Here is a 12549-nt window from a genome sequence, read left to right as displayed (position 1 = left end):
AGGACTAGGCTTACCCCCATGGCTACAGCTAGGTCTACAACTATTAACAGACATATGCGTGCAAAAAGACAAGGCCTGTCTCAGGGAGCTGACGGAGGGCCTGGCTGTACCTTCACAGCCCATGATGCATTAAATCCCTTCCATAAATGTTGACTGAGGGGCTCCAGCTTTCCTCCAACATTAGGAGGGCAGCGGGTCTCACCAGATTTACCCGTCATCCTTAGGGAAGCGGGGAATTGGTGGATCCGGACACAGCCAAAGAACTCCTGAGCACCAGGGGCCTCCGCTCCTGGGGCAGTGAGAGAGTGGCAGCCAGAGAGGTCTCTCCCTGCCCCTTCTCACATCATCATCTCTCTAGGTGGTGGACACTCATGCTTTCCTGGAAAACAGCGGAAGCAGCTGGCTCACCCAGGGTCGCACAATCAGGGCTTCATGGGGAAAACACCAAACACACACACACACACACACACACACACACACACACACACACACACAAATAACCCCTACATTAACCCCTATGGGCCTTGAGCTACAGCACACATTTTAGCAGCGCCACAGAAGGTGCCAAAGTGTTTCTATTGTCTCCGGCTGTTTTCTGCATATATTCATTATATTAAAACCACTGTCTCCTCTTTGGATATTAAATCTCGAGGGCAGGGACTCTATGACCACTTTCAGAATCCTCCAACTTGGAGTCTCGGTACTCCTTAATGAAAACTGCACATAAAAGAAACATTGCCATTGTTTAAAAGCCTGAGCTTCCCTTCCTAGGTCACTGGCTGGCCATCTGCTCTTTGGCCCAGAATTCCTGCTTTCCCTCTTCCTCCACACGCCCATTTGAACATCCTCTGGCATTTTATATTGCTATGTCTCATGGCCTATGGAACTAACGAGGCAAGGACTTCCCAAAAATGAAGGCGAAAAAGGAAGGAAGCGAACGATCTGGCCACGCGAGCACACTGCTCTTTATTGTTTGCTAGATTCCGTGCATTGTATCTGCGGGGTGGTCTGCTGGTCCCCAAGGTAAAAGCCAACTAATGTGTCAAATATGCATTACGATTTGTACCTTTTAGAGAAAGGTGGGATGGAGGTCATTCTTTCTGAATAAAGAGAAATTCCCTGAGATAGATTTGCATTGGTAGAAGAATAAAAACTTTACTTGCTTCAACCAAATTCCAAAATATGGCCATTCCATTCCTGAGTTTTGTTAGTCAACTCCACTCACAAGAGCCATGGAATCACTGCCAAATCTCAGTCTAGAGACCACGCACACAGTTTGACTAACTCGGGGGAAAGGAAAAGGATCACTCTAACAACAGTCACAGATAATATCTGGCCAAGATCAAATACAGGATCATTACCCAAGAAGACACTTGAAAATGGAATACAGCAATAAAAATGAGACAAGCTCTCTTACATAAGAGAGAAACTGATGTATTTGGGCAACTACAAAGATGACATTCGGAGGGCCTAGTAGGAAAAAATATTGATTTCTGAAGGAATGATTCACTCATCCAACATACTTTCCCTCTAATCACTACTTCCCAGACACTTCCTATGTAAACTTGGTATTACTAAAAACTCCAGGTCTAGACCTGACTTTACTGCTTTTTCATTTGTTCCATATAGAACTCTTCCATGGTCTCTCCTCAGATACCTGGGCAGCAGAAGGTTTAGTATCTTAACAGTGCTTTCCTCTTGATACTAAGATATCCTTTATTTTATTCTGATTTGTAGTATGAGCCCTTCTCTCCAACATCAGCCCTCCCTCAATAGTCATCCAGATTTTCTTCTTCATGGACATCTCCAAATTCTTTCCCAGCAGAGTAAACTCATCTCACATCCTGCCCCGCCAAATCCCCTCCTCATTCACCACTCCCACCTGCTCAGAAAGCTGCCCCTTCTGCAGCCAGGATCAACACCCTCATTCACACACCCTCAGAACACTGCAGCTTGGCACCCTCAGAGCCACAAATGGCCCGCTGCGAGAGCCCTGCACAGTTACCCAGCTCCAGCAGCTGAAACCCTCTCCCTTTCCCTTCTGTCACTGAATGTTCAAGTTCAAGGTTACTGAGAAGTGCCAGATTTCGTCTGGAAAGTCCTCCAGTCAGTGAAAAGGCTAAGGGAACACAGAGGTTTTCTCCAACAGGCAGCCTTCCCAGAGCAGTAGGATGGCGATAACTTTTGCTCTTGGCTAATTCAGGGTTTCCCACAGAGCATCTGCTCCGGACTCTTCCACGGTTCTGATCAACCCTGTTCACCGCCTTCCTACCCTCACCCCAAGGGGATCTTACTTCCACTTTGAAGTTCAATACTGCCAAGTGGTCCCTTTCTTAAGACTTGGCCACTCGGTAATAGCTAATATTTCAGAGCAGTGGCCCTGCTGTTAACACGTGTGGTGGGGGTCAGTGAGATTTCAGTAAGGTGGCCGTCTGTTATGAGCAGCATGATTTACAGGCTATGTTGCTGATTATCTCTTAAAATCTCTTTTAGCTCTGCATTTTGGTGAAGAGCACTGTATATTATACGCAAGCTTTGTCTCACCCCATTAACGGAGGACAACTGTATCAGCCATCTGAGCCCGAGTTCCCATGCTACTTAATTGCTACGTCGTTGTGTTAACGAAGTTAGGAGGGGGGCTGGCAAGAGCGTAAATCACCTTCACGTGCAGATATTTGTGGTTTTATTTTTCCTTTTGCCAGCTTGTCTCTCTGTTTCAATTGCCTACCATCTGCCTTTGAACAATCTAAGTGTGAGCAGATAGATTTTATTTGGAGGATGAAATGCTTTGAGCTCATCCTAGCAAAGCATTTTCATATACTGGTGTTCAGGGCATTTTCTGTTTAATAGGATCTCAGAGGCGATTCGATTTGGGTTGGGAGTTGGTTCCTTACAATACTCAGAGTACATTGTCAAATAGAAACCTCCTGATTATATTTTGCGACAGAAGGAACAGGGTAGTCAAGGGTCCAGAAGTCACCTCTCACCTTACAATGAGCCCTGGAAACACCCCACTGGAGTGCAGGTGACAAGGCAGACAGGCAAGTGTTTTATGCGTACATCCTAGTTCCTACTCTACCATCCTTCATTCATTTTCAGCTTAAAAAAAAAAAAAAGGATCAGATCCAAACATGAAGCACAAAGGACCTTCTGATTTGTGTTTTTTTTTTTCACATGACCTAAAAACACCCAATTAAAAAGTAGGTTCATTCACTCAGTTCACCTGGTTGAGTTTTTCACACGAATAAGATTATTTTGACTTGAACCAATCTGTTATTTCGAAAATACAGCCTAAAATAAAACTAACTGCTGGGTCAAAAGTCAATATACACTGGTGGGAGTCAGGAGATCTGACTTCTAGTTCTAATATGGCAATAATAGCCTTGGGACCTTCAGTAGGTCACTTAACCGAGCTTTGGGCCTTGGTCTGAAATTCCTTAAAACTATAGCTCTAAATGTCTAAATTCTGTTATTCTAATGAATTTATTTATTTTTATTGATACATATTAGATGTACATATTTTCAGGGTACATGTAATGATTTGATACATTTATAATCAAATCAAGTTAACTGGTATATCCATCGCCTTAAATATTTCTCTTTCCTTTATACTAGAAACATTCAAATTATTCTCCTTAAGCAATTTTAAAATGTACAATCGATTAACATGAACTATAGTCACCCTACTGATCTACTGAACATCACATCTCATTTCTTTCTATCCAAATCTAATGACTATCTTCTGAATTACAAGTGCCTCTCAGTCAGAACTGATTGGATAGTTGTCAGGATGATACTTGCCACAGCCCTTTATTTTTGGGACAGGAGACCCAAAGCATTGTACAGCAAACCCCAGGTTTAATGAAAGAGGCAAAAGAGACAAGGCTGCCACCTTGGGCCTCTCTCAAAAAGCTCCCAGAACTAGCCACTCTAGCAGCAGTTTTAAGCTAGAACCCTAATTTCCTTCTCTCTTCCCCGCCCTGCCAACCTTACCCTTTTTCAGGAACAAGTGGGATGAGAGCAGGGGAGAGGAGGAGGTCCCTGTCTAGGGAAAAAGAAAGCCCCAGGAACCTTTAAGGTTTGGGTTATTCCCATCACTTTTTTGGGGCAGGACAGTTAAGGAAAAGCAAGAACAACCCACAATCCCTGCTCACTTAATATCCCTCTCCAAAAAATATGGGTTTTAATAAAATGCTAGTGACTCTTCGTTATAAATGATTAGAACCCAGAAAAGAATATTTTTAAAACCCTGCAAGGCAAGTTTCAAAGTGTAGTACTTACTGAAATGTCATGCTTTAGGTAGAATAATATTTCATCTACCCATCTATCCATATGAAAGCTATTAAAGGCCACTTCTCATTTACAAAGAAAGAATTTGTACGTATGTCTGACCTGGTCTTAAAACTGATCCTACAAGCCACCTCCCTAAATCTTCTCCCCAGTTATACTCAGAAGAGTGTGAGCTTCTCTGCTTTTGTTCCTAAAATGCTGCTGCCCTATGGTGGGGTTAGACTCCAGCAGAATTTCCTCAATCCCTTCCATTTAGTCCCAGGACAGGGTGTGTTACAAACAGGATGTCACTACCCTTACAGTGAAAAATGTTACAAATGAGTAACTATAGTTAAAGAATATAACTACTTGAGTAAAGGTTTGAATAGGAATGCCTATTTAGTTATTGAAATTACAGCAATAATTAGTTTCTAAGACCACTATTTGAAAAATTGGTAGCCTCAAACTGAGTTTCTTACCCAAACGAAGTAAGACTCATATCACTTACAAAGAAAAGGGTAATTTTTAAGCTTTTACTCTACAAGAATCACATGAAGTACTTCTTAGTTATTAGAAATTTGAAATTATTGTAATCAAAAGCTGCCCAAAATCTACTGTTTTTCCCTTCTTCCTGAAAGGCGTGCTTGATACCAAATACTATTATGTCCACGTGGCAAATTTTGGCCATGAAAACTGATATAATCTCTAATTACAAGAATACAGTGTATCCCCGAAGAACAAGAAAATTTTAAAGATAAAAAGGAAACGATGAACTACAACATGAACAAGCCCAGGTGAACAATTAAGTACTAACACAGTCATTTTGGGAAGGAATGTGATTGGGGTAGAATCATCGAAAAGCAGAGAGAAGGGCAAGAAGATGGTGTGAAGATGAGTGAATGGCCGCCGGGGAAGAAGGGCCTGCAGGTCAGGGGATGAGGCACACCTGCTTGTGAAGATCTCATTTCGGCACATCCTACTTTAAAGGTTTACAGGCCAGACATTACGTGCTGGTGGCGACGGTTTCTATTTTGGGAATACGAATGAATATATGATAAAATGAGGCAGGACCAAGATTATTTTATATTAATAAAGAAAAAGAGGGTTCCTGTATGAACAGAACATGAATGGTAGCTCCCCAAAATACCTTTACAGAGGTGAAGGGAAAGAAAGGCTGGAAGAAGATGGGGAGGGACCCGGGGAGGAGGTGGAGAACTGAATGGTAAAGCTAAGTAAGCTAATAATAGAGGCAGAAGGAAGTACTGCGCCACAGGAGATAGAGATGTAAAGGCAGAAAAGCAGGCGAGCCTGGGAATCGCTGGTAATTATCCTATTGCACAAGAGGCAGCACAGCCGAGGCCTCAAAAAGAAGAAAGGAAAGAAAGAAAAGAGAGAAAAGAAAGGGAAGAAAGGAAGAAAGGAAGGAGGAAGGGAGGAAAGGAGGAAAGGAGGGAGGGAGGGAGGGAGGAAGGGAGGAAGGGAGGACAGGAGGACGGGAGGAAAGGAGGGAGGGAGGGAGGAAGGAAAGAAGTCCATCCATGTTCCTTCCCCCTCCTCCCACAGTCTTTTGGATCAGACTTCGAAGTCGCTTACAATCCAAGCTTGAGATTGGCAACTGCGCACCTTATGGTTAAAGAGTTCTACTATGATTTGTGAACAGTCATTTTGATGTTTTGGGAATGCATATAGGTTTGATGTGGTGTAAAGCCCGGGAAGGGGGAAGCAAAGCCCAGGAAAGGGGAAGCAAGTTTAAGGAAAACTTTTAAAAAGATATGTGTGCATGTGCATGCGGGTGTGTACAGAATTAGACCTAATTTTAATTGTCCCACAAAGTAAGAGTTGCAAAGAGTTGTAGGGATCTGAAGACGTGGCCCTGAGCTCAGTACAGCACACCCAGAGGACAGCCAAGTACAGGAGCAGACGGGCAGCTGCCTCCCATCTTTGAGCACAGGGATGTGCCAAAGGAACCAGTCTGCTGGCCCACAACGTCCAACATCCTGCTCTGAAGATAGCCAGTAAGGAGGTGTGCACTTGTGTGTGTCTTTGTTTAACAGAGGTAGCACACCTGGCCGGGCAATTGTGCAATAGGAAGCCACAGGGGGAAAATTTCTTCCTGATCTCAACTTGTGATCAGATTCCGCCCTGAAGCATAAGGCTTAAGTGTCCTTGCAACTTTCATCCAGAAGAAAGAAAAACATACTAACTAGCCCTTCTCCGACCCAGCCAGGGATCATAAAAATCGAAGAAGTTCAGAAAAGACCCTTGGCGTCTGTGCTGTCTTTGGAAACTGGGTGCCACCTTTACCACATAGAAGACTAGTTGAAAGGCTGTTCCTCTACAGCCCTAATCTCACATGATACTCTTTTCGATAGAAATAATTTGTTAGAATATAACGGCATATCCTTTTGTAAGGCTTGCCACATCAATTTAAAAAAAAAAAACAAAACAGTGCGAAGTCCTTTACCAAGTCACACATCACAATTTAGAATTTGGAAAGTACGTTAGCTTTTGCTGGGTGGAGGAAGGGGAGGGTGTCCCTCCCACACATCTACACAGGGCACTTGTTATTGCATTCTTATTGGCATTTCAATCACTCTTTAAGAAAAGGCTCATGAAATTTTCTCCAAGGCAGGTCAATTTTTAAGCAATTTCAACTGAAAACAATGTCCAACAGACCTATAGTTGTGGTAGTTCAAAAGTCTGTTCTCAGCTGGGTGTGGCGGTTCACACCTGTGATCCCAGCAATTTGGGAGGCTGAGGCTGGAGGATCACTTGAGTCCAGGAGTTCAAGACCAGCCAGGCAACATAGTGAGACCTTGTCTCCACAAAAAATTTAAAAATTGGCTGGGCGTGGTGGCTCACGGCTGTAATCCCAGCACTTTGGGAGGCCGAAGCGGGTGGATCGCGAGGTCAGGAGTTCAAGACCAGCCTGGCCAAGATGGTGAAACTCTGTCTCTGCTAAAAATACAAAATTTAGCTGGGCGTGGCAGCGTGCACCTGTAATCCCAGCTACACGGGAGGCCGAGGCAAGGAACTGCTTGAGCCTGGGAGGCGGAGGCTGCAGTAAGCCGAGACCATGCCACTACACTCCAGCCTGGGCGGCCGAGTGAGACTCCATCTCAAAAAAAAAAAAAAAAAAAAAAAATTAGCCAGGTATCGTGGCACACACCTGTAGCCTCAGCTACTTGGGAAGCTGAGGTGGGAGGATCGCTGGAGCCCAGGAGGTCGAGGCAGTGAGCTATGATCATGCCACCGTACTCAAGCCTGGGAGACAAGGCAAGTCCCCATTTAAAAAAAAAAAAAAGAAAATAAACCACCAGGTTTGTTCTTCAGCAGGTTGCTAGAACCAAGACCATAATCCGCCATGGAACTAAATGGCGGATAGTCTCCAGATTAGATTGTGACATGCTAATTCTTAGGAACCCTAGGTTCATGAGCATCGAGTCCTCTGAACACTGGGCCTGGTAAGGCTGTAAAGGGAGGGGAAGTAGAAGGGGAAGGAAATGGCTTCTCACTCAACAGCCTCAACAGTGAAGACATTGAGCAAGGGTTCTGGTAGCATTCATGGAGGAAACTTGAAGTCCATAATAGAAGCTTAATAAAGACCTGATGATTAAAAAAATTCTGTTCAACTACTATCCATCGGCCTTCCTCTGTGCCAGGCACCGTGCTGGACACTGGAAATGTAAGCAGCACATTGTCTGAGGATGAGGTGTGTACGCTGAGTGTTTAAGAGGGAGCACAACTTCCGTGGCTGCCCCTACCTGAGCAGCTTCTTAAATGTGTATTTTCACATTCATATACAGACCTATGCTTTCTGCTCCCTAAGTGGTCCAGATCAGCACCCGTAACAACTCTCAACCTACTGCACAAGCCCTCGAGGAGCCCATGTGAGCAAAGCAAGAGGACCCTTAAATGCCCTGAGTGGACAGACAGGCCAAGAGAAGCCTCGTGGAGACTGACCCACCGGCAGCCAAGATGAAGTCAAATCTGGCAGGGCTGGCAGGCAGCTGCCGCGTAGGTCTGCAACAGAAAGCCCCCAGCAGGCGGTCAGGAAAACTTGTGACGGTTTCGGGGAAACTGTAAAAGGACTCTTGCTGGGGTCTGGTTGGGTTCAGGAAGCTAAAAGTTTTCACATATCCTAATGCCCTGAATCCCAGCTGTACCTCAATGGCAACAGAAATAGGGAGAAAACGAGCTATTCAGGCTTGTGTGGAAGGCCCAGTTTGGTCTGCTTATATCTGAAAGTAACCTGATTTCTCCCAAGTGGTCCATTTCCCACTTATCAGATCACACTTAATCAGATTCATAACCCTAACACACTCTCTTAAGACTGCCCTCTTTAAATAAATGTCACTGGGCTATCCACTGTAAACAGCAATATTGAGGCTGTCCTACCATCCGTAAGACATAACTTTGAGTTGTTTTTCTAGTCCCATAGTATGCCCAGTCATTCTCACTGGTTTAGTCCCTCCAGGCAACCCATTAGGAGTAAAATGAGAGCTCCAGAGAGATCTTCATCTCAGATAGGGTAGGAGAGAACATGGGCTGTACAAGAGAAGACTGGAAAGAGCTGACTCAAGTAAGAGAGGGATTCTTCCCTTGACATGGAAAGGCCAATCACAGACCTCAGAGAAGTTTCAGCAAGCCGTGCTGCTCTTCCGGGTTCTCTCTCCCTACTAGCTCTTAGAGGAATGGGGTGGGGGAGCAACTGGCAGCCCCATACGGTGGTGACCTGCCACTGGGTCCCAGATACCACAGCCAGCTATGGCCAAGACCGCACACAGCTACAACAAACAGCCACTGGTTCTCTCTCCCTGACCCAAGAGGCATCCTGAGCCACATCAAAAAAAAGGATGATCAGTTAATACATTCATTTATCTTGGGCTGTCTCTGCTGTTTCTGGCACATCCAGCCTGAAGGTTCTCAAGCTTCTTCTCCAGCTATCTATATTCCCCTCTAGAAAGTAGGCAACTGAGAAGGAGAGCATTTGTGAGTGCCCTGTGTGTACATGTCAGTACTTATGCCTCACAGGAGCCCCTTAGGTATGGGAGGTGGCAGTATGTTCGCCCTGACATGGAGTCCTGATATGTTTCAAAACACAGGTCTCTACCTTTCTTCTTTCCTCAACCCTCACAGAGTATTTGCTCAGGATGTCAACTGTGTGAGGTCTTTATCTTACATATCAAAGAGCCTGGCACCAATTAAGTCCGTAACAGAAGCTTAATAAATACCTACTGATTAAGAAATTCTATTCAATTAATAGCCATTGGCTGTCCTCTGTGCCAGACCTTGAGCTGGACACTGGAAATATAAAAATGAACCCATCAGACTCCTGTCCTCAGCAGGCTTTCAGTCTAGTGTGGATGATAATTCAAGGATAACTGGATTGTTGCCAATAACAGAAGCAAGTTCAATAAGCTGGGGGAACACTGTGCCCAGCAGCAACAGGGAGGCTTGAGAAATGGACTTCCAATGACAAATTGGCTGCCAGGCAGAAAGAAGATCGAGGGAAGATTCCAGGCATAAATGTTTGTTACATGGGATGGGCATAGTGGCTCATGCCTATAATCCCAGCACTTTGGGAGGCCGAGTTGGGCGGATCACTTGAGCCCAGGAGTTTGAGACCAGCCTGGTGAAACCCTGTCTCTACTAAAAATACAAAAATTAGCCTAGTGTGGTGGTACGTGCCTGTGGTGTCAGCTACTCGGGAGGCTGAGATGGGAGAATCACCTGAGCCCAGAAGGCAGTGGTTGCAGTGAGCTGAGATTACTCTAGCCTTGGCCACAGAGCGAGACCATGTCCTCCTGAGAAAAAAGTTCATTATGTGGTTGGAACATAATGTGGAGATGATACTAGAAAGGTAGGCAGTAAAGGGCCTTGCAGGTGACAAGAAGCTGTGGTTCATGCTACACTGTGGTACTGTGGTGTGAGACAGAGAGTAACAAGATCACATTTTTATCTGCAAAGAATCATTCCAAGTTGTGTTGGGGGTGGGGACAAAATGGAGGAAGGAAGATCAGAGAGGAGACAACTGAAAGGTCTGGGGCCAGAAGGAAGGCAGTGACAGCCGGTATGGAGGAGAAAGACGAGTATGCACCAGACTGCCTGGCAGGCTGGAAAAGATGGCACACCTGCCCTCCCAAAGCTTCCATTCCAGTAGCAGTAAGAAGCAACAAGGGGAAGAGTCTGTTAGTGCATCGTGGACCAAACAAGGGTCACCGTTCGCTAACCTTAGTCCTGGATGGCTTTTGTGGCAGTGCTGGCTTTAAGTTGGCCTTTGAAGAATGACAGAGAGGTGACTTGACAGAACCATTCATTTACTACCCTTCTTTTGGCGGTTCTCCCCTGTGGTTCGTATCCTGGTTTTATTTAGCCCTATCTTCATAAGACTCTTAGATTCTTGTAACAGAAACCTCCACCAAGAAAAGCTGCCATCTCCTCTCATACTAATCCCACTCATCAACATCTCTTGGCAGTTTCTGACTTATGTGGGACAAAAATAAATAAATAAAAACAATAACAATAAGACTCTGCCAGGCTAGCAAACTGATCCAGTCAGAGGATTATAAGAGACACCTGTTTTTCAATACAGCAGCTGCTAACACAGCAGAAGCATGGCATCGTAGTAACAAGAAAGAGTTCTCTTCCATTAAAAACCCAATAGTAGCAGAAACTGGCACGGACTGATGTTCAACTATGTCACCTGAATGTGAAAAGAAGTTCAAATATGACCAGACACATAACAGGAACCCTGCTTTGCCAACGTGGGAACCCAAACGCTAGTTTGCTGATGGGGAGGTGATTTACCTATTCATCCAAGTACACTAAGGCACAAATCCTTAAAGCAGCTATTAAATACTTAAGAGTGTTATCAAAAACACACTGAAGCTTTTTGAAGTTTGGTTGATTCATACCCTGTGGCTGACCAAACACCTCTTCACTTAAGCCAGCTTAAAGAAAACTATTGCCCAGTTTGGAATGTAGACACTAACATAGAAGCACGTAAACAACACTTTATTTTTTCAGTTCACCACTGAAGACAGACAAGACACACACACACACACATACACACACACACACAACCTACCAACATATAAACACCACAGGCAAACTATCTCAAATGTACAATATGTACACATCACCTTTTCAGACCAGACCAGGGAGATGCTCTTAGAAACAGCTTGCTAACAGCCCCTCACATTGCTGTTTAACAATCCGTTCATAGCCCATCACAAAGCCAGGCCTCCAAGGAGATATATTTTACATCTATATGTTAGGTTTCTTCGCCACAACAAGGCTGGATTTTGTGTAATCTTTTCCTCTATATGCTAGAAAACAGATTATGCCATAATTTCTGCAATTTATCATCCCATGAGCATGCGATACATGTGGCATATATGCAAACAGAGTCACAAGCACAAACCCTGGAATAAATGCAGGACGGTGCCCAAGAAAGCACAAGCCACTCCAGATAGGCCTGACTAAAGCTAAAAATAGCCCATAAAGGCATTGTGTCAGCTGCCCTCTCGCTGTCCTCCCTAGAGCGTGCTAATTCTAACCTCCAGTGTTGGTGCTTAAGCTTGAGCCTTTGGTAGCTGTACCTAGGAACCGTTCCCTAATCCAGGAAGCTACTTTCTAGGTGTTGGAATATGCAGAAATCGTTCAACGCACTGCAATTATTAGTCCATTCATGCACACAAATGCAGATAGAGACTGAACCTGAAATTGTGCATTTTCTCCTAAAGCCTGCCATTTGTGCCCTGGGGCACTAGGACCAGCGGAGAGATGTCCCTTTTGGCAAATGGTATAACAGAAACCTCTCAAGTGCTAAGCATGCTCAACTGCCCAAGAACCACCCAGCCAACAGGACTAACTCTTGCCTTACCCTGGCTGGTGTGCAGCAAGAAGTTTCTCAAAGAAGCACAATCTTGTCCACACAGACCCCACTTGAGGTCCCAAAAGATTAAAGGGAGTGCACTCTCATAATATGAGACCCTAGGAAGAATCACAGACACCAATTTGGGGACCAGGGCTGCGAAGAAAATTCTTTCCAATTATCTATTTGGCATTTAGTCTGGCAGAAATATGTGCATAAAGGAAGAGTAACTGGGTTTTCCCAAACTCAGCCCTGCAAGTCATCCAAAAGTGCACCCAAATAAGAAATAGGCTGGGGGTTGTGAACTCACATTCACCTATAACCTACATATAAGCCAACCAAGAGGCAGAAGACTCTATTCTCATCCACCCACACCTCCTCCATGGTGAACCTTCAAAGAC

The 12549-nt window shown here is 44.7% G+C and overlaps 1 protein-coding gene across 9 annotated transcripts in view, besides 2 other annotated features; it reads right to left on the bottom strand.

Annotated features, from left to right (window-relative positions):
- ETV6 (ETS variant transcription factor 6) overlaps window positions 1-12549 on the bottom strand; it is a 245704-nt gene that overhangs the window by 220267 nt on the left and 12888 nt on the right. The gene's annotated exons all lie outside the window — the stretch shown is intronic.
- Window positions 7516-8150: an enhancer, noted in NCBI's record as "H3K4me1 hESC enhancer chr12:11819895-11820529 (GRCh37/hg19 assembly coordinates)". NCBI's record gives its function as "activates a minimal SCP1, AML or CMV promoter by ChIP-STARR-seq in naive H9 embryonic stem cells {active_cell/tissue: H9 hESC(naive)}" and the evidence as "EXISTENCE:reporter gene assay evidence [ECO:0000049][PMID:30033119]".
- Window positions 8151-8784: an enhancer, noted in NCBI's record as "H3K4me1 hESC enhancer chr12:11819261-11819894 (GRCh37/hg19 assembly coordinates)". NCBI's record gives its function as "activates a minimal SCP1, AML or CMV promoter by ChIP-STARR-seq in primed H9 embryonic stem cells {active_cell/tissue: H9 hESC(primed)}" and the evidence as "EXISTENCE:reporter gene assay evidence [ECO:0000049][PMID:30033119]".

This window comes from Homo sapiens, chromosome 12 (genome assembly GCF_000001405.40).
Source record: "Homo sapiens chromosome 12, GRCh38.p14 Primary Assembly".
In the NCBI taxonomy this organism is placed as follows: domain Eukaryota; kingdom Metazoa; phylum Chordata; class Mammalia; order Primates; family Hominidae; genus Homo; species Homo sapiens.
This window is presented reverse-complemented; position numbering and strand designations above follow the sequence as displayed.